The sequence below is a fragment of the Homo sapiens genome, chromosome 14, assembly GCF_000001405.40.
Source record: "Homo sapiens chromosome 14, GRCh38.p14 Primary Assembly".
Classification (NCBI taxonomy): Eukaryota; Metazoa; Chordata; class Mammalia; order Primates; family Hominidae; genus Homo; species Homo sapiens.
In genome coordinates this window covers 53,807,164-53,833,750 of record NC_000014.9, presented here as the reverse complement: position 1 = coordinate 53,833,750, position 26,587 = coordinate 53,807,164, and the positions used below count along the sequence as shown (strand labels likewise).

General features: G+C 36.6%; 1 long non-coding RNA gene across 10 annotated transcripts in view, besides 1 other annotated feature; it reads left to right on the top strand.

The window, feature by feature from the left end:
* LINC02331 (long intergenic non-protein coding RNA 2331) overlaps positions 1-26,587 on the top strand; it is a 165,830-nt gene that overhangs the window by 17,076 nt on the left and 122,167 nt on the right. The window lies entirely within an intron of this gene.
* Positions 3,950-4,029: an enhancer, noted in NCBI's record as "active region_8407". NCBI's record gives its function as "activates an Ori minimal core promoter by ATAC-STARR-seq in GM12878 lymphoblastoid cells {active_cell/tissue: GM12878}" and the evidence as "EXISTENCE:reporter gene assay evidence [ECO:0000049][PMID:35858748]".

Genomic DNA, 26,587 nt, shown 5'->3' with positions numbered 1-26,587 from the left:
TCCTTGTGAGGTTTTAGTATCAGGGTCATGGGGCCTCATATATTTGTCCTCCATATTTTGAAAGTGTGTAGAATTGATATTATTTCTTCCTTAAATGTTTGGTAGAATTCATCAGTGAAGCTATCTGGGCCCAGTGTTTTCTCTGTGGGAAGATTTATATTTACAAACTCAATTTTTGTAACACATATAGGACTACTTAAATACTCTATTTATTTTGGTTTCACTTTTGGTAAGTTTATCTTTTGAGGAATAAGTCTATTTTTATTTAATAATTTGGGTAAGTTCCTTGTTATCTAAGAAATTTAGAACTTATTTGCATGAAGTTGATTATAATATACTCTTTTTATTCTCTTACTATCTGTAGAATCTCCAATGATATCTCCATTTATTTACCTTTCAGCTATTGGTAATTTTGTTTTATCTCTTTTTTGTCTTAATCAGTCTTCTCAGCATTTTATCAATTTCATTAATTTTTGTCAGAGAACAATTTGACTTTGCTGATTTTCCTAATTTTTGGTTTTCTATTACATTGATATCCACATTTATCTTTATTATATTATTTATTATATTTACTATTGTTTAATTTGCTTTTCATTTTCCATCTTTTTGAAATGAAACTTTAGATGATTAATTATAGATTTTTTTTTCTTTTCTAACATAAGCATTTAAAGTTATAAATTTCCCTCTAAGCATACTTTAGGTTCATCCCATAAATTTTGAGATATCATGTTTTCCTTTCTATTCAGTTCAAAATATTTCCCAAATTCTCTTGTAATTTTTCTTTGCTCCATGAGTTATTTAGAAGTGTGTTGTTTAATATCTAAATATTTGGGGGAATTTTCTAGATTTTTATTATTGATTTCTAATATAATTACTTTATGATCATCAGAGAACATATTGTATAATTTCATGTCTTGTAAATTTATCAAGATTTGTTTTATGGCACAGCTTATGATTTATCTTGGTAAATGTCCCACGTGCACTTGAAAAGAATGTGTATTTTGTTATATTTAGGTGAAGTGTTCTAAAAATGTCAACTAAGTCTAATTGCTTAGTGATGTCTTTCAATTTTGAAAAAAAATTTCAGTAGTTTTTGGGGAACAGGTGGGTAAACTATTTAGTAGTGATTTCTGAGAATTTGGCACACCCGTCACCCAAGCAGAGTGCACTGTACCCAATGTGTAGTCTTTTATCCCACAACCCCCTCCCACCCTTCCCCTCAAGTCTCCAAAGTTTATTGTATCATTCTTATGCCTTTGCGCCCTTATAGCTTAGCTCCCACTTATAAGTGAAAACATATGATATTTGGTTTTTCATTCCTGAGTTACTTCACTTAGAATAATGGTCTCCAATTCCATCCAGGTTGCTGTGAATGCCATTATTTCATTTCTTTTATGGCTGAGTAGTATTCCATAGTGTATATGTTGAGTTTGGGTTTGGATTGTTCTTGTTTCTCTAGCTCCTTGAGGTGTGACCTTAGATTGTTTATTTGTGCTCTTTCAGACTTTTTGATATAGGCATGTAATGCTATGAACTTTCCTCTTAGCAGTACTTTTGCTGTATCCCAGAGGTTTTGATAAGTTGTGTCACTATTATTGTTCAGTTCAAAGAATTTTTAAATTTCCATCTTGATTTCATTGTTGACCCAAAGATCATTCAAGAGCAGGTTATTTAATTTCCATGTATTTGTATAGTTTTGAGAGTTTCTTTTGGAGTTAGTTTCCAGTTTTATTCCACTGTGGTCTGAGAGGATACTTGATATAATTTTGATTTTCTTAAATTTATTGAGACTTGTTTTATGGCCTATCATATGGTCTATCTTGGAGAATGTTCCATGCACTGATGATTAGAATATATATTCTGCATTTGTTGGGTAGAATGTTCTGTAAACATCTGTTAAGGCCCCATTTGTTCTAGGGTACAGTTTAAGTCCATTGTTTCTTTGTTGACTTTCTGTTTTGATGGCCTCTCTAGTGCTGTCACTGGAGTATTGAAGTTCCCCACTATTATTGTGTTGCCATCTATCTCATTTCTTAGATCTAGTAATAATTGTTTTATAAATCTGGGAGCTCCAGTGTTAGGTGCATTTATATTTAGGATTGTGATATTCCTGTTGGACTGATCCTTTTATCATTACATAATGCCCCTCTTTGTCTTTTTTAACTGCTGTTGCTTTAAAGTCTGTTTTGTCTGATATAAGAATAGCTACTCCTGCTTGCTTTTGGTTTCCATTTATGTAGAATATCTTTTTCCACCCCTTTACCTTGAGTTTATGTGAGTCTTTATGTGGTAGGAGAGTCTCTTGAATCCAGCAGATGCTTGGTTGGTGGATTTTTATCCATTCTGCCATTCTGTACCTTTTAAGTGGAGCATTTAGGCCATTTACATTCAAAGTGGGTATTGAGATGTGGGATACAGTTCTATTCATCATACTAGTTGTTGCCTAAATACCTTGTTCTTTCTTTTTTTCATTGTGTTATTGTTTTATAGGCCCTGTGAGGTTTATGCGTTAAGGAGGTTCTATTTTGGTGTATTTCAAGGTTTTGTTTCAAGATTTAGAACTCCTTTTAGCATTTCTTGTAGTGCTGGCTTGGTAGTGATGAATTCTCTCAGCATTTGCTTGTCTGAAAAAGACTTTATCTCCTTCATTTATGAATCTTAGTTTTCCTGGATGCAAAATTCTTGGCCCACTATCATTTTGTTTAAGGAGGCTAAAGATAGGACCCAAATCCTTTCTGTTTTGTAGGGTTTCTGCTGAGAAATCTGTTGTTAATCTGATAAGTTTTCCTTTATAGGTTACCACTTGCTTTTGTCTCACAGCTCTTAAGATTCTTTCCTTCAGCTTGACTTTAGATAACCTGGTGACTAAGTGCCTAGGTGATGATCTTTTTGTGAATTTCCCAGGTGGTATTTGAGCTTCTTGTATTTGGATGTCCAAATCTCTAGCCAGGGCAAGGAAAATTTCCTCAATTATTCCTTCAAATAAGTTTTTCAAACTTTTAGATTTCCCTTCTTCCTCAGGAACACCAGTTATTCTTAGGTTTGGCCATTTAATAGAATCCTAAATTTCTTGGAGGCTTTGTTCATTTTTTTAGATTTTTTTTTTGTCTTTGTCTGATTGGGTTAATTTGAAAGCCAGGTCTTCAAGCTCTGAAGTTCTTTCTTCTACTTATTCTAGTCTATTGTTAAAACTTTCCAGAGCATTTTGTATTTCTCTAAGTGTGTCTTTGATTTCCCAAAGTCATGATTATTTTTTCTTTATTGTATCTATTTCTCTGGAGAATTTTTCATCCATATCCTGTTTTTTTTTAATTTCTTTAAGTTATGTTTCACCTTTCTCTGGTATCTCCTTGAGTAGCTTAATAATCAACCTTCTAAATTCTTTATCTGGCAATTCAGAGCTTTCTTCTTCGTTTGGATCCATTGCTGGGGAGCTAGTGTGATCTTCTGGAGGTGTTATAGAACCCTGTTACCAGAATTGCTTTTCTGGTTCCTTCTCATTTGGGTAGACTATTTCAGTGGAAAGATCTGGAACTCAACAGCTGCTGTTCAGATTCTTTTGTCCCATGACGTGATCCCTTGATGGGGTTCCCTCCCCTTTCCCCTAGGGATGGGGCTTCCTGAGAGCCAGACTGCAGTGATTGTTATTGCTCTTCTGGGTCTAGCCATCCAGCGGAGCTCCCAGGCTCTGGACTGGTGCTGGGGAATGTCTGAAAAGAGTCCTGTGATATGATTTGTCTTCAGGTTTCCCACCTGTGGATACCAGCACTTGGTTTGGTGGAGTTGGCAGGGGAATGAAGTAGACTCTCTGAGAGTTCCTCATTGTGGTTTTGTTCAGTGTTCTGGCTTTCTCGAATGCTGGTTATACTAGCAGTGAAGTTGTCATGTGGGCAGACTAAGGACCTCTGGGTAGCCAAGATATGCCAGGCAGTGGTATTAGCTGTTGTTTTCTCCCTTCTGGGAGCAGGGTTATTCTGTCATGCATTGCTGTAATGGCCTCAATTGGTTGGCCTTCTGCCAAGAGGTGATGCTTTCAAGAGAACACCATCTGCAGTAGTTGAAGGGGGATATAAGTTTGCCCTAAGTTGGCCAAGTAGGTATTCTGGTTTCTCTGGTGATGAACAGGACCATAATGCTCCAAAGAGCTTATGTCTTTTGTGTTCAGCTACCAGGGCAGGTAGAGAAATGCCACCAGGTAGGGGAAGGTTTAGACGGGCCTGAGCTCAGACCCTCCTTGGGCAGGATTTGCCACAGTCACTGTGAGAGATGGGAGGATGGTTCTCAGGCCAATAGGGTTATGTTCCAGAAAGGATTATGGCTGCCTCTGCTGTGCCATATAGTTTGCCAGGGAAGAGGGGGATAGCTGGTAGTGAAAGGCCTCACCCAGTTCCCACGCAGTTGGCAAGGCCAGTCTTATTTCCACAGTGACCTACTAATAGCACCAAGTTTAGATCCAGTCAGTCTGCACATGGAACTCAGACCTTGCCCCAGGCCTAAAGCTTCCCCACCGAGAAAGCAAGCACTGTTTTCAGGCCTTGCCCCTCCCTGTCTGCCCAATGTTGGTGGCAGCTCCTGTGCTTGTATCTGCAGCAGTTCCTGTTCGTTCCCTGGATTCTGCTCAAGAAAATTTGTTCCCAGTTGAAATTATTACAAAATTCAGCTGGAAGCTTCTTTCACCCCATGACCCCTCCCTAATTCCACTTGCTGCCTTCCCTGAGGGCCCCTGTTAGATATAGTCAGGGATGGCTTCCCTGGGCTCGAGCTGGGGACTGGGAGTGCCTACAAGGCTCTTCCCACTGGTGCTTCTACTTTTATGTTTCGTTGGCTCCCTAAAACTGTTTCAGCTCTAGATAAGGTTAAATCCTTCTTCTGTGACCGGGCTTTTCAGAGTCCCCAGTGGGGATGTGTGTTCAGAGGCAGATTTTTCCCCTCACACTTTGGGAACTCACAGTTTTTCACATCTTGCAGAATTTGCAGTGGCATGCTGCTTCTTTCAAAGGATGTGTGAATTCTTTTGGCTGTCCTGGTATGTTTCCACACTGGTTCTTGGAGAAAACATTCACCTGTGAGTCTCCATACGCTGTTCTGTCTGTCCAAGCAAGAGCTGCAAGTTAGCCCTGCCTCCTATCTGCCATCTTCCTCCCCTTCCCTGCTCAAGTTTTCTACATTTATTATAGACTTTATGTCTTCTTGTTCTATCAATTATTAAGAGAAGGGTATTACAATTTTCAAGTATAATTATGAATTTTTCTATTTCTTTTTGCAGTTCTGTCAGTTTTTGCTTAATGTATTTTGAAGCTCTATTATTAGGAGGATACACATTTAGAATTGTTAGGTCATCTTAATGAATTGATTCTTTCATTATAATTGAATGCCCTTTATTCCTGGTAAAATTACTTGTTCTGAGTAATATTTTATGTGATGTTAATAAAGCTGCTGTAGTGTTCTTCTGGTATACCTTTTTAAAACCTATTACTCTTGTCCTACCTGTACCTTTATTTTTAGAGTAGATTTCTTATAGACAGGATGTTGTACGTGCTTTTAAAAATTAGGTTGGCCATTGCTCCTTTATTGCTGCCTTTTGTATGAGGGTGTTTGTTTAGACCATTTACATTTTAAAAACAGCTTTATTTAGATATGGTTGGCATACCCATTCTAGTTAACCCATTTAAAGTGTACAACGTAATGTGTTCTAGTATATTCACAGGATTGTTCAACCATCATCATAGTTTCATTCTGGAGGGACCATCTACATTTAATATAAATACTAATATGATTGGATTCAAATCTGTCATCCAGCTATTTGTCTTATTTTAGTCTTGTGGGTTTTGTTCCCTCTTTCTCTTTTCTCCCTGCTTTTGGATTAAGTGAGTGTTTGCTAGTGTTCCATTTTTATGTTCACTATTGGCTTATTAGTCCACTAAAAGATTATTAGCCATACCTCTTTGTTTTGTCATTTTAGTGATCACTCTAATAATTATAATGTGTATTTTTAACATATCATAGTCAAACTTCAAATATTATATCACATCACATATGGCACAGCTCGGATTCACTCGCTAACAGTTCTGTGACTAGAAAGGAAAGAACTCTTTATTCCCAGCTCTGATTTGAAAAAAATCTCATGAAAAGGCTCTTTATAGCCTGGCTTGGGTCATATGACTATCTGTGGACCGAACACTATGGCCAAGGATGTAAATTCTTGTAGGAGGATGGTAGTTTTCATTCAAAATATGGATTGAGGGTGAAGAAAGGAGATTTCCATAGTATTATTGAACCTATAGGTTTACGTTTTTATCGGAAGTAAATTTTCAAAATACCTGTAATGAAATCCTGCATCTTTATTAAAGTGATTTTTCTTTTTCTTTTGTTTTAGAGACCATTTCTTGCTCTTCTTCCCAGCCCAGAGTGCAATGGTATGAACATAGCTCACTTTAACCTCAAGCTCCTGGACTCTAATAGACTCATGCCATGACACCCAGGCTAATTTTTAATTTTTTCATAGAAACAGGGTTTTGCTATACTACCCAGGCTGGTCTCGAACTCCTGGCTTCAAATAGTCCTCCCACCTCAGCCTTCCAAAACACTGGGATTACAGGCATGAGCCACTGTGCTTACCCAAAGAGATTTTTCAAAGTCTGTGATGACTACTCTAGACATGGAAGACTGTTTTGGAACAGATTTTATAAATGCCAATAAGATTGCTTGATAAATAAGGCAGCAATACTTAGAAGATTAAATGTGTACATTGATGATCCCCCCATTTATGCCTTACATTTTGTCCAGTTGTAGTAGCAGCCTTTGCAGCTCACTATAACTCCCTTTACCTTGAACTTTCACTAAAACTGCAGTGCTTGTGGAAGCCATGTTTGTGCTGTGTGAACCAGACCCTGTTGTTACAGCCAATTGGCCTGATATAACACCCAACTCAAGCTGGGGTGATCAGATTCTCTTCTGAAATTTTTAATTTGAGGTTTGGAACTAATTAATCACTGTCTCATGTTGGAACTCTAACAAATAAACCACAGCTGCCAGGGAGTATGGTTTTACAGTGTGGATGGAATAGCAAGGAAAGCCACTGTGAAAAGAGGAAGGAATGAGACCAATTGAGGAAAGAAGCAGAAACAGAGAAACTGTCATGACCTCTTTCCATTCCCAATTCCAGGCTTGGCTACATTCTTATCCTTGGGGTCTGTGAGACGTAGAGTATATTCCTTAAAATTCATTTCTACTTTTGTTTAAGCTGGCTTGAGGGGACTTCTGTTTCTTGTAATCCAAGAGCCTAGGCCAAAACTTCAAATATACAATTTTGAAAGAATTTAAGAAGTATTTGTCAGTTCAAGTACTATCTTAAGGATGAATAAAAGGCATAAAAACTAGGATTCAATTTTATTATACTAATTCATGACAAAGTTTTCCTATTTCTGGACAGTGTATCATCTCTTTGGCAAAAGTTTTAAAATAAAATTTTAAGGGGGTGAATGACGGGTGGTCACTTGGTGGGTACAATGTGCGTCGCTCTAGTGATAGATGCACCGAAGGTCCTGCCTTCACTGCAATGTGATACATTGATGTAGCAAAATTGCACTTGCACACTATGAATATATAGAAATTTAAAAATCAAAATAAAAAATAAAAATTTAGGTAAAATATTAAATATATCAAAAATAAAACTCATTAAAATGCCATCCTGCTTAATAAATAGAGCATTAATAATCTCCTGAAAAATTCCAGGTGCTCCTCTTCAATTTCATCCCTCTCCCTGCCCCAGAGACAGCCACTGGACTGAATTTTTTATCTATTATTTGTTTTCTTTCTTTAAATAGTTTTACCACATCTGTATGTATCTCTAGAAATACAATGTTTAGTTTTCCATACTTTTGAAATTTATGTTGATGGAATAATGCTCTATGCTATGAATCCCTCTTTGCTCAACTTTATACTTAAGAGATTAATTACATTTTTGTGTACAAATCTAATTCATTCATTTTCACTGCTGTATAGATTCCTGTTTTACAGCTGTGGCAGAGATTATCCTTTCTCCCTTCAGTGAGGAGTTAGAAGTGGAATTTCTGTGTTGTAGCAGTGGTCCCCAACCTTTTTGGCCCCAGGGACTGGTTTCATGTAAGACAATTTTTCCATAGACCAGGGGTTGTCGGGGGGATGGTTTTGGGATGATTCAAGCACATTACACTTATTGCGCACTTTATTTCTATTATTATTACATTGTAATGGGTAATGAAGTAATTATACAACTCTCCATAATGTAGAATCAGTGGGAGCCCTGAGCTTGTTTTGCTGCAACTAGATTGTCCCATCTGGGAGCGATGGGAAATAGTGACAGATCATTAGGCATTAGATTCTCATAAGGAGAGCACAACCAAGATCCCTCACATGTGCAGTTCACCATAGTGTTCACGCTTCTATGAGGATCTAATAGAACCACTAATCTGACAGGAGGTACAGCTCACACAGTAATGCAAGCCATGGGGAGTGGCTAAATACAGATGAAGCTTTGCTCGCTTGCTTGCCACTCACATCTTGCTGTGCGGCCCAGTTCCTAACAGGCCACAGACTCGTACCAGTCTGTGGCCCCTGGGGGTTGAGGACCCCTCTGTTGTAGGATATATACATATTTAAATTTCTAGGTAATGCCAAGTTTTTCTCAGAGTGATTGTAGTATAAATGTATAAAAATGCCCTTCGCTTTACATCCTTGCGGATTTTTGGCATGTTTTGACTTTTTAGTTATTTTGCCAATCTAATGTATGCAAAATTAAATCCCACTTTTTTACCTAACAAACATTCATTAAGTGCCTGATAGAGACATATCAGTGAATAAAACAGACAAAATAAACAAAAACAAAACAAAATCTAAAGCCCTTGCCCTCATAGAACTTACATTCTAGTGGAGAATACACACAGCAAATAAAATATATATGAAAGTTATTTAGTATTTTAGTATCTGGTAAGTACTAAAGAGAAAATTAAAACAGAGCGGGACTAGGTAGTGCTGGTGCTGGGGTGGGACTGAACTTCAATAGAGTGGTCAGGTGGGCATTTGAACAAAGACCAGAAGGAGGTGAAGGAAGTCATACCAATAGCACTGTTGTGTTTTGTTTGATGTATCAATCAGAGTCCAGTTGGGGAAGCACAGTCGTGATAACTATTACAAGATAAAGAATTTATCATTGCAATTAGAGCTCACATGAATGTGGGAGGAACCAGGGAGGTGAAAGACTACAAGGGGTTGAGGGGTCAGAGATGGCTAGTCCCTAAGCAGCTTCCCGCAGCACTGGCATGGGGGGCAAGTCAAAGCTTGCAGGGTGATTGATAAATAAAGCACATCCTGCTGAGAAAGTAGGACCATAAAGAGGAAGTTTGTGAAGAGGTGCAGAGGAAGCTCTTGCTTTTGTGCAGAAACTGGCTGGTGGCTCCACAGCCAAACATTTGGTTGAGGGGCCTGGGCCATTGACTACTGGGCCAGTAGTGAAGAAGAGTTGGTCACAGCTCTTGGTTAAACTATAACCTGTGGGGTACTTTTGCATTTCTTCGTCACTAAGACCTTCAGAGGGTTATAACCACTGTTTCACATCCACCTTCCAAATTACTATGTTTTATCAACTCTAACCAAATATGATAGAAGGACAGGGACTCTGGGAAAAAGAGCTCCCAGCTTAACTAAGTTGATACAACGTAATCTAACACATCTAGTTAGTGATAAATGAGGTTGGGCATACTTCTATATATTCAGTGGTCATCATTGTTTTTTCTTCCTCCAAGTGTCTAAGTTCTTTGCTCATTTTTCTACTGGATTGTTTGATTTTTTAAAATAGATTTTTAGGAGTTTTTACAATATTTTGATTACCATTCTTAGTCCATTATATGTGTGGCAAATAAGTTATCCCAATTTGTAGCTGGTAATTTCACTTTCATCATGGCATCCTTTAAAGAACAAAGGTCTTTCTTTTCATATAATTTCACTTAATCTTTTTTTCTTATGGCTTGCACATTTTGTATACTGTTTAAGAAATCCTTCCTTAACCAAAGGCATACATTTATTCTTCTACGATGTCTTCTTAAAGTTTTATAATTTTCCTTGTATAATACTTTCAATAAACTTTTGTAAATAGTGTGAGATGAAAATACAATTTCACTGATCTTTTTCCATATAGAGCTGTAATTGTCCCAGTGCTGTATCTTAAAGAGTTCATCCTCACTGATTTGCCCTGCCTGCTCTTTCATAAAGCAGATTTCTCTATATTATTATGGTTCTATTTCTGGATTCTCTAATCTGTTCCATTGGTCTTTTGTCTCTCTTTTAACTAACATTATATTATTTTTATTATAGCCATATAAAAAGTCTTTCTCTCTGGTAGATGCAGTCTCTTCAGCTTGTGTTTCTTCGGGAGTGTTTTGGCAATTCTTGGTTCTTCATGTTTCTCTATTTTAAAATTGTCTTGATTAACTCAATAAAAAAGTTCTATAGGATTTCGACTGAAATTATACAAAATCTCTAGGTCAACTGGGGAAATTGACATGTTTTTCATTACTGAGTCTTTCTATCTGTAAATGTGATATCTCTTTTATAAAGATCTCATTTAATGTATTTCAGTAACATTTTATAATTTACTTCATAAAAGTCATATACATTTTGAAGATTTATTCCTAGGTATGTTATTTTTTGTTGCTGTAGTGAACAACACTTTAGAAAATTATATATACATTTTATATTTACAAATTATATCTATACATATGCATACCTATACACATATATACATATACAAATATACATATATATTTTGTATAGTTTGTTGCTGGTGTATAGAAATGCAATTGACTTTGACTTTATATCCAGAAAACTCACTAAACTAATAAACTTTCTTATTAATTCTCATAATTTATATGGAAATTCTTTTGAATTTTTCAATTAGACAATCACATCATTTACCAATAATACCAGAATTTTTTCTTTCTGATCTTTACTTTTTTATTCTTTATTTTTTCTTGTCTGGGTTTTTCAGTGCATCTTTGAATTGATGAGGTAAGAATGGATATATTTGTATTGGTTTTGAAGCTCTTAATATTTTACCATTAAGTACGTAATTTTTTTACCTACTTTTTGCAAAAGTCCTTTATCATTTAGTAGCATCTTATTCTATTCTTGTTTTCTTGAATCATAAAAATAAAATAGTATGTTAAATTTTATTAAATAATTTTTCTGCATCTATTGAGTTGGTCATGGTTTTTTACGCTTTTAAATTATTAATGTGGTAAATTATATCAGATTTTCTAATATTAAACCAACTTTGCCTATCTAGGATAAACTCTACTTATTCATGAAATTTTTTTTTATACATTGACAGATTTGGATACTAATGATTTGGGTCCTACTGTTTTGCTTAGAATTTTTATTTTTTTATCTATGACTATTATCTTGTGATATTCCTTTGGTGTATTATTCTTATCTATTTTGATGTTACAGGTGTACTTGCCTTACTCAATGAGTTGGGGAATGATATGGTTTGGATGTGTGTCCCCATCCAAATTGTTATACCCAATGATGGAGGGTGGGGACTGGTGGGAGGTGATTGGATCATAGGGATGGTTTCTCACGAATGGTTTAGCACTATCTCCTTGGTGCTGTTCTTGTGATAGTGAATGACTGCTCATGAGAGCTGGTTGTTTAAAAGTGTATGACACTGCCCTCACTCTAGACTGAGAAGATTTTTCTTTGAACTGGAGAGTTTTAGTATATCTATAGTTATTTTGATTACTGATATTCGTATTTATTTCTGCCATATTCTTTACATTTTTTCCACCTTTTTAGTTTTCTTTCTCCATTCTTGCTTCTTCTTTATTGTTTTTCTATCTGTTCTCATTCCATATTACCCTATACTTGGATAGAGAACATAATTTCTAAGGTGTATTTATTTGGTAGTTGTCTTTAATATTTTAATATGATCACTTAACTTATCAAAGCCTATAGTTAATCAGTACATTTTCCCTCCTCCCAAATTAGACAAACACCTTGGAACACTTTAATCACCATCCTTTCTGCTTATACTTTATGTTTTAGTGGATGGTATTTTAGTTCTAACTGTACAAGACAAATTATTGTTATTGGTGTACACAGTATTAATTTAGATCAGCATTTCTCAGCATCAGCACTACTGACATTTTGAGCAATAATTGTTTGTTGTGTGGAGCTGTCTGATATGCCATGAATGTTCAGCAGTAGGCCTGGCTGCCACACCGGATGCCAGCAGCACACCCTTCACCCAGTTGCCACAAGGAGAAATGTCTCCCGATATTGTCAGATGTTCCAAGGGGGAATATTGCTCTTGGTTCAGAATCATAGATTTAGATCTACCCACTTATTTAGAAGTATATGTTTTTACCATTCTGTCATATTTCACACCTTCCATCATTTTTCTTCTGCCTAAAATAAATAATTTAGAATTTTCTTTAGTGAGGTCTATAGGGCAAAAGGTAACAAGTCTGTTTTTGTTTGGTTTGGTTTTTGGTAAATCTGAGGAAAGTCCCTGTTTTTTCTTGTGTTTTAAAGTGATAATTTATTGGGTTTAGAATTCTGGATTGAGAGTTCCAGTTGTCCCTCAATATTCACAGGGCATTCGTTCCATGACTCCCTGCCAATATTCAAATCTGAAGATGGTTGAGTCCTCATATAAAAGGTGTAGTATTTGCACATAACCTACACACAACCTTCCATACACTTTTGACCATCTCTAGAATTACTTATAATAGCTGATATAATGTAAATGATATGTGGTTGTTATACTGCGTTGTTTAGGAAATAATTAGAAGAAAGAGAAGTCTATACATGTTCAGTACAGTTACAATCATTGTAGGCTTAACTACATTTTCCATCCAGGGTTGGTTGAATCCGCCAATGCGGAAGCTGCAGATACAGAGGTCCAATTACATTTTCTTTAAGCTCATTGGAGGAATCATTCTATTGTTTGGTGACATTGTGGTTGTTGAAAGTAAGAGCTATCAGTCTAATTGTTATTTCTTCTAATACAATATGTCTTCTCTCTGGCTTGTTTGAAGAAAGCTTTTTGTCATTTGTATTTTTAAGTATCACTATCATTATGTATAGGAGTATAATTCTCTTTTTCTTGTGATTTGTTGGGATCTCTGAATCTGATAATTGGTATCTTTCAACAATTCTGGGAAAGTCTCCGCTGTTATCTCTTTGAAAGTTGTTTCTTCCTATTATATTTCTAGAAGCTAGACAAATAGTAGATAACTTTAGAGGATTCTTACTTCATTTTAACCTTTGCAGCTTCCTTACTTTCTTGCTACTAAAATGTTTGGTATATTTTATTCACCACTTTTAAAAACAATAAACATTTCTAGATTTCTAGTTTGTGATATTGCTGGAAACTGAAGTTGCAAAGTTAATTTTAGTGGAATTAAAATAAGCCAACTATAATACTTATCCTAAACTTGTTTCTTACTGTAATTCTTTAATTGGTCCCCAATATCTGAACTACAGGTGATTCCTTTATACTCTCTATTTTGCTTTAATATTGTAAAATATAGACTTTACATTTTTTAAAAAGAAGTAACTCGTTATGCAAATGAAGATTTTGCCCTTGTTTTGCATACAAAATAGCTTTTCTCATAAGTATTGATGATCTCTCTTTTCACAACAAGACAGAAGAGAAAGTCTGTGTAGACCCTCGTTAAGAATGGCATCTCCATGGATAATGGGGTTAATCGTCAAGAATAAAAATGTATTGGTCTTTCATTTGAAATGGCTTTTGCACAGTTGATTGGGAGTACTTTGAGGTTGAAAATCGTAATAAATTTATTTTTGCTTCCTTTACTTATGTTTCCTACTCTCAACTTATTTCTCATGAGCATTGTGGCCATATCTATGTGGCCTAAATGTAGATGTCAGGAAATAGTTAAACAGCAATACTTTGTTTGAAAGTTTAGCTAAGTTCCAACCTCAGGGGTGTTTTGTTCTTTTTATTTTGCTATCTACAATGGTAGTATTTGGTAGTGAGAATTTGAATAAGTACCATGAGAAGAAATTTTCCTAAGAATAGAAAATCTTTCAGACAAAATTTGCCCAGAATTGATTCTTTTTCTACCTAACCCCTAAGGTATCTCTTGCTACTGTTTGTAAAGTTAAAGGATTTCTAAGAGGTCACTGCAAGGAGTTGTAGGTCATTTTAATGTGGCTTTGTGACTGTTAGCTGAGTTTCCATATTTCCATGATATTTAGTTTTGTATACCCAGAATAGAGCTAATTTCCATATCATAAATGAAACATCAAGGCTCAGATTAGCAAATTGTTTGTCTAGTGTCACATTGCTGAAGAATAAAGAGCTGGGTGGAGACCTAAACCAAGGTCTTTTCCAAGTTTGTTGCTTTTGCCATAATATAAATTTTTCCTAAATTGTGCCTCACGTAATCTTTTATTTTTTAATGAGATGTCAACAAGTATTCTTCTGAGGAAGGGTCAAGTAATTTAGACAATCCTGGTTTAAATTTTAAAGTATTTTTTAAAAACATTCTTGATTTAACTCGTTATTAGTTATGTGTTTTGTAAATATCTTTCCTCATTCTGAGCCTTGTCTTTTTACTTTTATACAGTGTCTTTTTACTTTTATACAGTGTCTTTTTACTTTTATACAGTGTCTTTTGATGAACAGAAGTTATTAATTGAGTGGTTGATTAATTTATTAATGCTTTTTTCATAGTATACACTTTTAGTGTTTTGTTTTAGGAATTCCTCCATACTCTCATATAGTGTCATATATTTTCTACTAGAAATTCAATGTTTTGCTTTTTTTGTGTGTTTTTTGAGATGGAGTTTCGCTCTTGTCGCCCAGGCTTGAGTGCAGTGCCGAGATCTCAGCTCACTGCAACTTCCGCCTCTGGGGTTCAAGCTATTCTCCTGCCTCAGCCTCCTGAGTAGCTGGGATAACAGTCGCCAGCCACCAGGTCAGCTTATTTTTTGTATTTTTAGTAGAGACGGGGTTTCACCATGTTGGGCAGGCTGGTCTCGAACTCCTGACCTCAAGTGATTCACCCGCCTCGGACTCCCAAAGTGCTGGGATTACAGGCGTGAGCCACCACACCCGGCCTGTTTTGCTTTTTACATTTAGTCAATATACAATATACCTAGAACTGATGATAATATACCTGGAACTGATTTGGAGCTATAGTGTGAGGTAAAGATCTAGTTTAATTTTTTTCCCATATGGATAAATAATTGCCCCTGCAACATTTGATCACAGACTTTCAGGAGTCTCCTCCATCATCTGTGGAATTTCTACACATTAGTGATCTGTTCTGGCCTCTCTATACTGTGACATTCGGTTATTCTGTCTGCACATATGCCAATACCAGTACTATTTGTAATTGAAAAAAAAACAATCTAAATACTCAAGAGAAGACTAGATAAATAAATTGTGGTATATATGTACAACTAAGTACTACACAACAGTAAAAATAAACTCGAGCTACATACATTAAAATCTCATAAATATAATGTTGAGCTCCTCTCCTCAAAAGAATTATCAAAATAATACCTAGAGCATGATACCATTTTTGTAAAATTAAAACCGTAAAAAACAGTATACCTTAATCCCGGCACTTTGGGAGGCCGAGGTGGGTGGATCACCTGAGGTCAGGAATACGAGACCAGCCTGGTCAACATGGTGAAACCCTGTCTCTACTAAAACTACAAAAAATTAGCCGAGCATTGTGGCTGGTGCCTGTAGTCCCAGCTACTTGGGAGGCTGAGGGAGGAGAATCGCTTGAACCTGGGAGGCAGAGCTTGCAGTGAGCCAAGATCATGCCATTGAATTCCAGCCTGGGCGACAGTGCGAGACTCCGTCTCAAAAAATAAACAAACAAACAAACAAAGTATACCTTTTGTTTAGGTATATATGGAAAGGTAATAAAGATATTAGTAACTGCATGAACCATTTATACAACATTCAGAATTTTGTTACCTCAGAGAGAGGGAACAGGTATGATGAGAGAGGGGTACACAGAGGTGCCAACTGTATTTGTAATATTTCTTTTGTAAGTTGCTAGGTGGGTTTATTTTATCATTCTTTACATCTTCTTATGTCTTAAAAGTTTTCCTAATGTTTTACAAATAATTATGTAAGATGCCTTTACTGCAATAGTTCATAGGGACTTTAATTTGCTAATAGGCTTTGTGTTTATCCAAAAAAGGGGGCATTCTATGAGTGTTTCCCAAGTTTAATTGACCATGAAGCCTTTTTTCCCCCACCCAGGAACAATTATTGGTATCTTGGGTGTTAGTCTTGTTTCATGATTCCCAGATTCAGAAAATGTACATTAGACCATACTGCTTATAAAGATGAGACAAATCCAAGGTCTAGTCTTTAAGAACTCTTTTTTTTCTTTTTAATTATACTTCAAGTTCTGGGATACATGTGCAGAACGTACAGGTTTGTTACATAGGTATATACGTGCCATGGTGGTTCGCTGCCCTCATCAACGCATCATCTATATTAGCTATTTCTCCTAATGCTATCCCTCCCCTAGCACTCCCAACCACTGACAGGTCCCAGTGTGTGACGTTCCCCTCCCTGTGTTCATGTGTTCTCATTGTTCAACTCCCAATTATGAGTCAGAACATTCGGTGTTTGGTTTTCTGTTCCTATGTTAGTTTGCTGAGAATGATGGTTTCCAGCTTCATCCATGTCCCTGCAAAGGACATAAACTCATCCTTTTTTATGGTTGCATAGTATTCCATGGTGTATATGTGCCACATTTTCTTAATCCATTCTATCATTGATGGACATTTGGGTTGGTTCCAAGTCTTTGCTATTGTGAACAGTGCCACAATAAACATACATAGATTCAATGCTATCCCCATCAAGCAACCACTGACTTTCTTCACAGAATTAGAAAAAAACTGCTTTAAATTTCATATGGAACCAAAAAAGAGCCCATACAGCCAAGACAATCCTAAGCAAAAAGAACAAAGCTGGAGGCATCACGCTACCTGACTTCAAACTATACTACAAGGCTACAGTAACCAAAAGAGCATGGTACTGGCACCAAAACAGATACATAGACCAATGGAATGGAACAGCGGCCTCAGAAATAATGCCACACATCTACAACAATCTGATCTTTGACAAACCTGACAAACACAAGCAATGGGGAAAGGATTACCTATTTAATAAATGGTGTTGGGAAAACTGGCTAGCCATATGCGGAAAACTGAAACTGGACCCCTTCCTTACACCTTATACAAAAATTAACTCAAGATGCATTAAAGACTTAAATGTAAGACCTAAAACCATAAAAACCCTAAAAGAAAACCTAGGCAATACCATTCAAGACATAGGCATGGGCAAAGACTTCATGACTAAAACACCAAAAGCAACGGCAACAAAAGCCAAAATTGACAATTGGGATCTAATTAAACTAAAGAGCTTCTGCACAGCAAAATAAACTGTCATCAGAGCGACCAGGCAACCTACAGAGTGGGAGAACATTTTTGCAATCTATCCATCTGACAAAGAGCTAATATCCAGAATCTACAAGGAACTCAAACAAACTTACAAAAAAAAAACAAGCCCTTCAAAAAGTGGGCCAAGTATATGAACAGACACTTCTCAAAAGCAGACATTTATGTGGCCAATAAACACGAAAAATAGTTCATCATCACTGTTCGTTAGAGAAATGCAAATCAAAACCACAATGAGATACCGTCTCATGCCAGTTAGAATGGCCATCATTAAAAAGTCAGGAAACAACAGATCCTGGAGAGGATGTGGGGAAATAGGAACGCTCTTATACTGTTGGTGCGAGTATAAATTAGTTCAACCATTGTGTAAGACAGTGTGGCGATTCCTCAAGGATCTAGAACCAGAAATACCATTTGACCCAGCAATCCCATGACTGGGTATATACCCAAAGGATTATAAATCATTCTACTATAAAGGTCTAGTTTTTCTTTAGTGTCTTATCAAGTTACAGAAGTGCTTTGAACTCAGCAGGATAATAAAGGAGGTGTTGTGCATGTGGTTTTTACCTTAGCATCTTGCTTCAAGTTCCTAGCTATTCCTATGGCTTTAATTTGTTGGGTACATTCCCCTCTCACTCCATTCTATGGAGGTGGTCAGAATGCATAAAACAGAGAAACCAACAAAATGTAGTTTCTATATGGTGAGAGTACAGCTATAATATGACCTCCTCTTTGATTCCACAGTGCAATGCAAATAGCACGTAGTGTAGAGAATGTCTGTTATAGAAATAGGGGCGACTGAAGGCATTCATTGATCAAAAGTCAATTGTTACAGATAACATTATTCCCCTATTAATAGAGTATTTTAATGATTGGATCATTTTCATAAATAAAATTGATATATAGAACATATAATTTTTTGTAATGGAAGTAATTGTAATGAGACCTTGTTTTAACTAGTTTTTATAAGTATAGGAAACTGAAGCTGATTCTTACCTTTTTTGCAACAGGAATGCTTTATTTGGCAGACTTTTTTTTAATGTGAATGCATAAATAAAACTGCTGATTTGACCTGGCAAACTTCAATTCCAATCCAGCATACTTTTCCTATTTATAAAGTGCAGTGAAAATGTTGGCCTTTAGAAACTGATATTCCCTGGATGTGCAAGTGCGGCAAAGGCTTTGTTGTTGTTGTTATTGCTCTTAAAAAAAAAAAAACTGTAGCAAAATCCTAAAAGAAAAACTCCAAAATAAGATGTAGTATAATGTCTGTACTCATACCTAAAAAGGGACAAATTATTTTAAGATGGCCTTTTAAAGGTTGTGGCCCCAAATGGTGACGGTAAGTCTTGTGCAGTCTAGTGTATGTGCTACTACAAGCTTGCTTGAGGCTCATAAATCTTGCATTATTTGGAGTAAGTGTAGACACTCCAAAATGAATTTAGAGGCAAATATGAATGTGTTTCTGGACATGGGCTTGGTGGAGAGAATGCTGTGATCATGCGTCAAAAAATTCTAATCATCTGGTCTTATAATGAATGGGTTAGTTTCTCCATTCTGCCAATAGAACATGAGTGTATGAAAACTTTGAAGTGTGGGAGGCAACGGCAAAGAAAACAATAAACTGTGCATGTGAGACTGGCTTGATGCTTGGTGATTAAGAGATGAGGGCCCCGCGGGTCAGCTCCCCATAGGTACAAACAGATGTTTGCACTGTTTCACAGCTGCTAAATATGATATAAATCCAAAGAATTTTTCTTGTTTTTATAAAGGAAAAAATACCCAGACAGCAAATTTTTGGTCATTCAGATACTCTTACCAAATGACATCTGGTTTCTGTACTGCTTATTTAAGCAACCCTTAAAAAAAAAAAAAAAAACCTTTACCAAGAGGAGGAACTCTAAACTTTCAGCCCTTCACCATACATAACAGTACAGTTTAAATTACACTGTAACATGCAGAGTTTATTATAAGCAATGCTGTTTCTTTATTCCTTAACTAGCAAGTTTTACTTTTAAGAAAATGGGTTGGATATTATGTAATTAGTTAAGGGAAATCTGTGATGAGGTTACATGTAGAATATCCTAGGTTTGCAATCCTAATGATGGCAAAGAAAATGAATTAATTGTTTCCATATGTTAAGAATGGTGGTGAGCAAAGTTAAACTATACAGTTACCTAAAATAAAATGTCAGCACTATAGCAAGACAGTATTTTGACTTGCATCAAGGTGAGAAAACATGAAAGGCAGAAAGGAAGCAGTGACAGGTTGGAGGTCAAGACAGAAATGAATCTTAATAAAAGACTTACGTAATTCTTTAGAGAAGAACCAGATTTTTGCCATCTATACATCCATTATACTTTCAAGTTTATATGCAGAAATTTTGTTCATTACTGTGCTCAGCAGCAAATATGTTTCTATTGATTGTTCTCCACAAAGGTGTCTATGTTGACGTATCAAATGCCCAAGCTTACAGGCTTGCCTTCTGAATTTTTTCCACCTCAATATTAATGACTGACGTTGATCTATGGTTTCTTTCGAGCTTTCATTCAATGCATCTCCCAAAAGTTAGCACTGAAACAGAAATGTGGTAATTCCATAACAAATCTGGCAATTAGCAGCATTCTTCCTTTTGGGTTTTACATCATTATTTGGCCTGTTACTGTAATTCCAGTCTGATATTAATAAAGAGAAACAAGCAGTCTGACAATTCCAGCTTCATGGGAGATTCCTCACCCAAAGATTTGCTAGGTCTGTACAGAGAGGTGCAAAATCCTGTCCAATAGGAGTTGCCCAGAGTGAAGATAATATATTGCCTGGACCTTTCTTTGGCTCCTTTTAAAACAAGATCTGTTTATTTCAGGGGGTTACTAAGTTGTATAAGGTCTACCAGAGCTGACTTTGCAGGAGGATAATAATTTTTCCTATTGTGTTTTACTTTGTAAGTTTTGGTTATGAGTTTGGGCTTGGCATGTGTAATGATCTTTGGTTTCAGCATTGAGTCTAATTCACTGGTTAATTTGCCATTTCCTTTTTAGTCTCCAGCAGGAATGTTGCCTTCCTCCAGATTCCATGATGAGGTTTACTCTATCTCTAGCATCCATCACTTCTGTGTTTACTAACTCTGAGAAACCTCTCATGTCAAGCTTTCAGATATATACCATCTGTGTATGAAAGTCCCAGGTGGGGGCTCATAAAAGAGGTTTCATGAAATCATGGCTGAGGAGTCCTGTATTCAGGTTGACATTCGACTGTGCATAGCTAAATTTCCCACCCCCCAATCTCCCAAGCCAAGTTCTCCTTATCACTAACAGCTTCCTATTGATGTCATTAAGAGTAAATATGCAAAGGAAATATGAAGCTCTTCATTCCCTGAGAACCAGGATATTTAGGTTGTGCAAATCCCTGAACCCTAAAATGGATTTAATCAGCCCAATTCACATCATAAATATCATGTTGCAAGGACACACATGTGCTGGAACAGATAGGGAGATTTCATTTTAACTTTTAAATTTGCAAAATTATACCCCGTGGGCCATTAATTTTTCTTGGACACTCCAGGGACTTCGTGCCAAGAGGAATTCTTGAGTTCACATTCAGTAGGTTTATGCTCTTTGTTGGTAAGGGTTCAGTTTCTTCTCCGTTATCAAATATATCATATTTCACCTCCTAGAACCCTATTGGAAACTCCTAGCTATTCTTCCTGCCTCCATTTCCCCCAGATTTTTTGAAGAATGATCTGGTAATTTTTTGCAAAATCCATTTCTATTTTTTTCTCTTCCATTTTTCCTATCCCTCCCAACCATCCCTTTTTCCCTCCCTCTCTTCTTTTCTCTCCTCCTTCTTTCCTGTTTCCTTCCCCTCTTTCAAAGAGCATTTAACATATAGTGATTCTCCACAGAATCTCACCTAAATATGGGAGGATAACTGAATTAAGTTTTTTGTAATTAAATGTTTTATTTTGAAATAATTATCGATTTACATTCAGTTGTAAGACAGGGAGATCTTATGTACACTTCACTGTTTCTCCAATGGATATATCTTGCAAAACTATCATACAATGTCACAACCAGGATTGTGACATTAATGCAGGCAAAATACAGAAGATTTCCATCACTGCAGCCATCTCTTATTTTGCTCTTTTATGTAGCTACAACCACAACCTTCCCATTCCAACTCTCTTCTTAACCACTGGAAATCACCGTCAATCACTAATTGATTTCTATAATTTTGTCATTTCATGCATGTTATATAAATGGAATCATACAGTATGTAACTTGTTGAGATTGACTTTGTTCACTCAACATAATTCTCTGAGTACTCATTCAAATTGTTTCATGTATTAGTAGTTTGTTCCTTTACATTGCTGAGTAATATTTCACGGTACGGATGTACCATGGTTTGTCTTACCATTTACCTGTTAAAGTGCATCTGGGCTGTTTCCAGTTTTGGGCTATTATGAATAAAGCTGCTATGAATATTTGTGAATGTAAGTGTTTATTTCTGTGGGGTAGATGCCCAGGAGTACAATTGCAAGGTTATATGGTAGTTGCATGTATTTTTTAAAGAAACTGACAAACTGTGTTCCAGGGTGGCTGTACCATTGTCCATTCCTGCCAGTAATAACATATAAGTGATGTAGTTTGCCTGCTTTTATGATGTTGTCACTATTTCTTGTTTTAGCCATTCTGATAGGTGCATAGCGATAGCTCATTGTGGTTTGAATTTATACTTCCCTAATGGCTAAAGAACTTGAATATCTTTTCATGTGTTTATTTGCCATCTGTACATTCTCTCGGATCAACTGTCTTTCACTCAGTTTTTAATTGGATTTTTAAAACTTTTACTGTTGCTTTATATATACATCTTATTTAATTCTCAAAAAAGACTCTTGAAGTCCACATGGCTCCTAAGAGACAGGGTCTGGATTTGAATCCAGGTTTCTGTTACTGTACTCTTTTGTTTTGTTTTGTTTCTGTTTACCGTCACAATCTTCTGGTATTTTGCCTCCCTGCCCATACAAGGTCACCTTCTGCATCGACTATTTCCTGAAGATTGACTAGCTTCCATGGCTTCTATTGCTACTGCTGAGGTAGGAGATTCCACGTTTATAACCCCAGGGTCAAATTCTAGACCCATTCAAAATGCCTATGCATGTACTAATGGCAATTGAACCATCTATGATCCAAGTTAAACTCTGTGACTTCTACCCATGGAAAATCTTGCTCTCCTCCTGACTTTCTCATTTCTAATAACAGAGCCACCATCTTTTCTATCACCAATTCAAAACCTTTGTTCCCTCCCTTATTTTCCTTAAGCAGTACCATCGCTGCCCCAAGCAATTAGTTGGGGAGTCTCCACGTAGATTCTACCTCTGTGTTTCCTTCTTCCAAGGTTTACTAAAATGTATCATTTTCCAGGCCCTAATATCTATATTGCTGCAATAGCAACCTAACAGATCCACAGCCTTCACTCCTTTCTGCCATCTTTGCTTCTCATGTAAGACATTGCTGTCAGATTTATCCAGAAGCTTGGGATTGATCTGACTGCACTTTCATCTTACAAACTTCAATAGCTCCCCTCTGCCTAATGATCTATGTGCAGAATTCTCAGTCCGCCTTCAAGGCTCACTAGCCAACATCGTTTTGAGCCCAATCTCCAAACCCATTCTTACTAAGTTATATGCATCTCCCAATATGTTCTGCAGTTTTTGCTTGACCGCTCCTTAATGCTGTTCCATTTTATTTACTTTTCAACAATGAATTCTCCATATCTTTCAAGGACGATTTCAAAGGCAACCTCTGTAGAAAAAGCCTCTCCTGATGCCTCTAGTGGAGATCTTTTTCATTCCTTCGAAGACGAATCTTTTGTAACACTCGTCTTGCTTTTATTGTAATTGTGTGCTGATCTTGAAGGCAAGGATTATGAATAGGACACTTCAATGTCTGCAGATCTGGGTTTTATAAATGAATCTTCGAGGATCAGAGCTTCTAGCAAAGCTTGTTCTAAATTCTTTTGTTATGACTGACAAGGTATACCCTTACTGAATCCTTCCCTATATTTTGATTCATCTGGATAAAACATATTATGAACCTTCACAAAAGGATGATAATCACCCACTAAATACTCACCCCCTACTTGACATCAGGATGACCCATAAAGGTGTGAAGAATTAACCTGCAGACCTAGTTTTCTGAACATAATCCTGTTACAAATAAAATTTCATAAGGATCTTCCTTATCTGTGATAATAGACAAGCAATATTCTTTGAAGCATGGTGGAGTAAGTCGATGGTGGACATGTTATGCCTTGCTAGAGGATATAATATTTCTGAAAAAATCCTTTAAACACTAAGTATTCTGGTAGTCAGCAAATAATGAAATCTATGAAAATGTGTGAGAAATACTTTTGTTATTTTTTAGCTGCATATGTGCTCCTTTAGATTTTGAAATTTTCAACCTAAAATAGGAGTGCAAGATTGGCTTTCAACATTTTTATTGTAGAATTCTCTGTGGGTTCTGTGTAGAGGGACTGTGGATGTGGGAATATCCTGGGGCCACTGGGTTCTGCGTTCTGGTATGTAGTTTTCAATTCACAAAAACATTTTTTTTTTTTTGGAGAACAAAAAAATGTAGATTTATGGCCTGTATAATTTGGTAACTATATTCAACAGAGGAAAATGACATCTTGTAGCTTGGACTTGGGAGTCTAAAATTGCAGAAAGATGAAAAGGGAAGAATGTTCATGGCAAAAATTTGGGCCACTAGCCATTCATTGTTAAGTCTGGGGGCTAGATAACAGTGCTCTGAATATAAACAACTCTCAGGCATGGCAACAAGAAATGCCTTCTTGTGCCCAGCATGTATTAAACACCAACATCCCAGTAATAAATCCCACAGTATAGACTTAAACCTCACTCATTCGCTATCACTCTCCATTTTTCCCTCCTCCAAATATACCCGCTATTCACTACTAATAATTCCATGTTAGAAGAGAAGGTTGTAAAGTACTCACTTAAGGGAACAGGTTTGGAGTCAGACAGACTTGTCTTAAACCTGGCTCTACAATTTTCTAGCTGTATCCTCTTGAACAAATAACTTAACAGGGCTAGGTCTCAGTTTTCTCATACGTAGAATGGGGATAATAATCACATCTCTCTTTTAGAGCTGTGAAATTACGTGAAATAATATACAGAACTTAGTGTGGCACAAAGAAAGTACTCAATAAATGACAGCTGCTATTATTATTAGTTGTCATTTACCTTTACATTTGTAATTGTAAGTAATTTGGAATTAAAAATATTTGGTTTGGTCTTTAAACCCAAGAATCTACCCACCAGATGAAGTGGGGATATTCTTAAAATTAGAAAGAACAAAAGCACCCATCAAAATGCTTGCAAATTTAGCACACACAGTGTTCTACAGCACACATACTGTTCAACTTAGAATATCAATAAACTGTTCTATAAGGATCATATATACAGCCTCTATCACATAGCTATCTGTGATCCTTACAGAACAGTTTATTGATATTCTAAGTTGGCAGATCCCTCATTCATTTCATCAACATTGTCTGGGGCATCTGCCATGTGCTACAAATGTGCTGGCACTGGGACCCATGCCCATGTATTGTCCACAGCTTATTTTACCAATTAAGTCCATCTATTTGAATGTTTCCCAACTTGTTTTTCTCATTTAGCTATGCTTAGTTTTGTGGTGTCGCTTGGATTTGGAGATCAAATTTAGAGTTCCCCACTGAGTTTCTGTCTTTGCAGGTAGAAAAACCTTAGTCACCAAAAATAAAGCCAATGAGCTTCATTGACTGTGACTGACCACTGTGGACAAGTCTGGCCCCTCTCCTGGAAGCAGCCTGGAAGATCCCCCTCCAAGCTTCTCAGAAATATGTGGTCTCACACCAAAGTTTCTATGCTTGCATCCTCTGGGGACACAAAAGCATGGCTGGGTGAGATGCACTCATGCTCCCTAATATGCTGAGTGTCTCATATTGCAGAGAGAAAGTAGCTGGTGAGGCATGAATCAGCCAGTTTGCAGATGAGCAGTGGCTGGAGCTTCATTGCAATAAAGTGTTAGAATTAATCTTCTTCATCTGTTTTCATTTTGCTAACTCACTATATCAGGCACCACAAAATAAGTATATTAATTAAATGTCTCACTCTTTAAAATCTAAAGGGAGATACTTGGAAGATGGAAAAATGTTCATTTGCAGTGGCGGGGAAAAAGCCAGGGAATAATTAGAATCTTGAAGCTTCTGCAGTTGGAATAACAATAAAAAGAGCAGAGATGACTATAAAATGGTTTGTTCTTGGCATTGCTTAATTGGCCTATTTATTTTTCTGTCTCTGAAGCTGTCTTTAGTGACACCTACTGATAAGCGCCAATCAGAACCATGGCCCAATTCCTTCGGGCTGGACCTGCCAAGAAACTGCTCAGCCCTCCAGATGTTGCTGCTTTGTGAGAAATGAGAACTCAATAAACCAGGCTCACCCTTCCTCCTGGGGTGAACACAAAGGCAGTCAGATATGGAAAATCACTGCTCAGCACCGTGAACAATGTACTCAAATGAGGGGTTGGGTCAGTTCTTATTTGTCTTGGTGGAACAGACAGCCATGGAGCCTAATGCAAGAATTTTACCTGGCAACAATTCAAAATGTGACTATACATTGAAATTGTTCAACAAAAGGAGGCCTTTTATCTGGGAAAAAGCCCAACAGTGGGTTTAAAGAACTAGCTAGAGAAACTTGTAAAGAGGGTTAAATATGTATCACATATGATTTTAGTATGCTGAACATTTCTCCACTTTTTGTGTTTTTCAGATTCCATTCTTTTGTTATGTAACAAATTAGAAAGATACTGCAGTCGACAGTCTCATGGCACATCCTAACCATCAATGAATAATATTCCATGAGCACTAGCCGTTCTGAGAATGGAACAAAATGAGCTCAAGTGAATTAGTTCTTGTCCTCCAGACCAGAGTGTCCCAATATTTCTTAGTACAGGACACACTTGTGACCTTGCTGTGAAAAAATAAGAAAATATGTCACCATTCTTTTTTCCTGAGCCAGCCCCTCATC